This window comes from Homo sapiens, chromosome X (assembly GCF_000001405.40).
Source record: "Homo sapiens chromosome X, GRCh38.p14 Primary Assembly".
Classification (NCBI taxonomy): Eukaryota; Metazoa; Chordata; class Mammalia; order Primates; family Hominidae; genus Homo; species Homo sapiens.
In genome coordinates this window covers 62,645,849-62,647,671 of record NC_000023.11, presented here as the reverse complement: position 1 = coordinate 62,647,671, position 1,823 = coordinate 62,645,849, and the positions used below count along the sequence as shown (strand labels likewise).

Below are 1,823 nucleotides of genomic sequence, written 5' to 3'. Positions count from 1 at the left end.
GTAGTTTTTCCTTTTCCAATATAGGCCTCAAAGCACTCCAAATATCCATCTGCAGATTCTACAAAAAGAGTGTTTCTGAATTGCTCAATCAAAAGAAAGGTTCAACTCTGTGAGATGAATGTACACATCACAAAGCAGTTACTCAGAAAGCTTCCGTGTAGTTTTTATGTGAAGATATTTCCTTTTCCAGAAGAGGCCTCAAAGTGCTCCAAATATCCAGCTGCAGATTGTACAAAAAGAGCGTTTCAAATCTGTTCAAGAAAAAGAAAGTTCAGCTCTGTGAGATGAATGCACACATCCCAAAGAAGTTTCTCAGAATGCTTCTGTGTAATTTTTATGTGAAGATATTTCCTTTTCTACCATTGGCCACAAAGTGTTCCAAATATACACTTGCAAATTATACAGAAAGAGTGTTTCCTAATGGCTCAATCAGAAGAAATGTTCAACTCTGTGAGATGAATGCACACATCACAAAGAAGTTTCTCAGAATGCTTCTGTGTAGTTTTTATGTGAAGATATTTCCTTTTCCACAATAGGCCTCAAAGCACTCCAAATATCCACATGTGGATTCTACAAAAAGAGTGTTTCAAAACTGCTCAATCAAAAGAAAGTTTCAACTCTGTGAGATGAAAGCACACATCATAGAAAAGTTTCTCAGAATGCTTCTGTGCCATTTTTACGTGAAGATATTTGCTTTTCCACCAATAGCCGCAAAGGGCTGCAAATATCCACTTACAGATTCTTCAAAAAGAGTTTCAAAACTTCTCAATCAAAAGAAAGGTTCAACTCTGTGAGTTGAGTGTACACATCACAAAGAATTTTCTAACAATGCTTCTGAGTAGTTTTTATGTGAAGATATTTCCTTTTCCACCATAGGCCTCAAATCAATCCAAATATCCTCTTGCAGATTCTACAAAAAAGAGTGTTTCCAAATGCTCAATCAAATGAAAGGTTCAACTCTGTGAGATGAATGCACACATCGCAAAGAAGTTCCTCAGAATACTTCTGTTCAATTTTTATCTGAAGATAATTCCTTTCCCACAATAGGTCCCAAAGCGCTTCAAATATCCAATGGCAGAATTTACAAAAAGAGTGTTGCAAAACTGCTGAATCAAAAGATAGGTTCAACTCCGTGAGATGAATGCAGTCATCACAAAGAAGTTTCTCAGAATACTTCTGTGTACTTTTTATGTGAAGACATTTTCTTTAACACAATAGGCCTCAAAGCACTGCAAATATCCACTTGCAGATACTACAAAAAGAGTCTTTCAAAACTGCTCAATAAAAAGAAAGGTTCAACACTGTGAGATGAACGCACACATCGCAAAGCACTTTCTCAGTATGCTTCTGTGTAGGTTTTATGTGAAGATACTTCTTTAACCACCATAGGCCTGAAACAGCTCCAAATATCCACTTGTAGATTCTACAAAAGGAGTGTTTCCAAACTGAAGGTAATTCCTCTTCCATAATAGGCCTCAAAGTGCTCAAATATCCACTTGCAGAATAGGCCTCAAAGTGCTCAAATATCCACTTGCAGATTCTACAAAAAGTATGTTTCAAAACTGTTCAATCAAAAGAAATGTTCAACTCTCTGTGGTGAATAAACACAACAAAAAGAAGTTTCTCAGAATGCTTCTGTGTAGTTTTTATGTGAAGATATTTCCTTTTCCAACATAGGCCTCAAAAAGCTCCAGATAGCCACTTGCAGATGCTACATAAAGAGTGTTTCCAAACTGGTCAATCAAAAGAAAGTTTCAATTCTGTGAGATGAATGCACACATCACAAAGAAATTTCTGAGAATGCTTCTGTCTAGTTTTTATGT

General features: G+C 36.3%; 1 annotated feature.

The window, feature by feature from the left end:
* Window positions 249–787: an enhancer, noted in NCBI's record as "OCT4 hESC enhancer chrX:61866355-61866893 (GRCh37/hg19 assembly coordinates)". NCBI's record gives its function as "activates a minimal SCP1, AML or CMV promoter by ChIP-STARR-seq in primed H9 embryonic stem cells {active_cell/tissue: H9 hESC(primed)}" and the evidence as "EXISTENCE:reporter gene assay evidence [ECO:0000049][PMID:30033119]".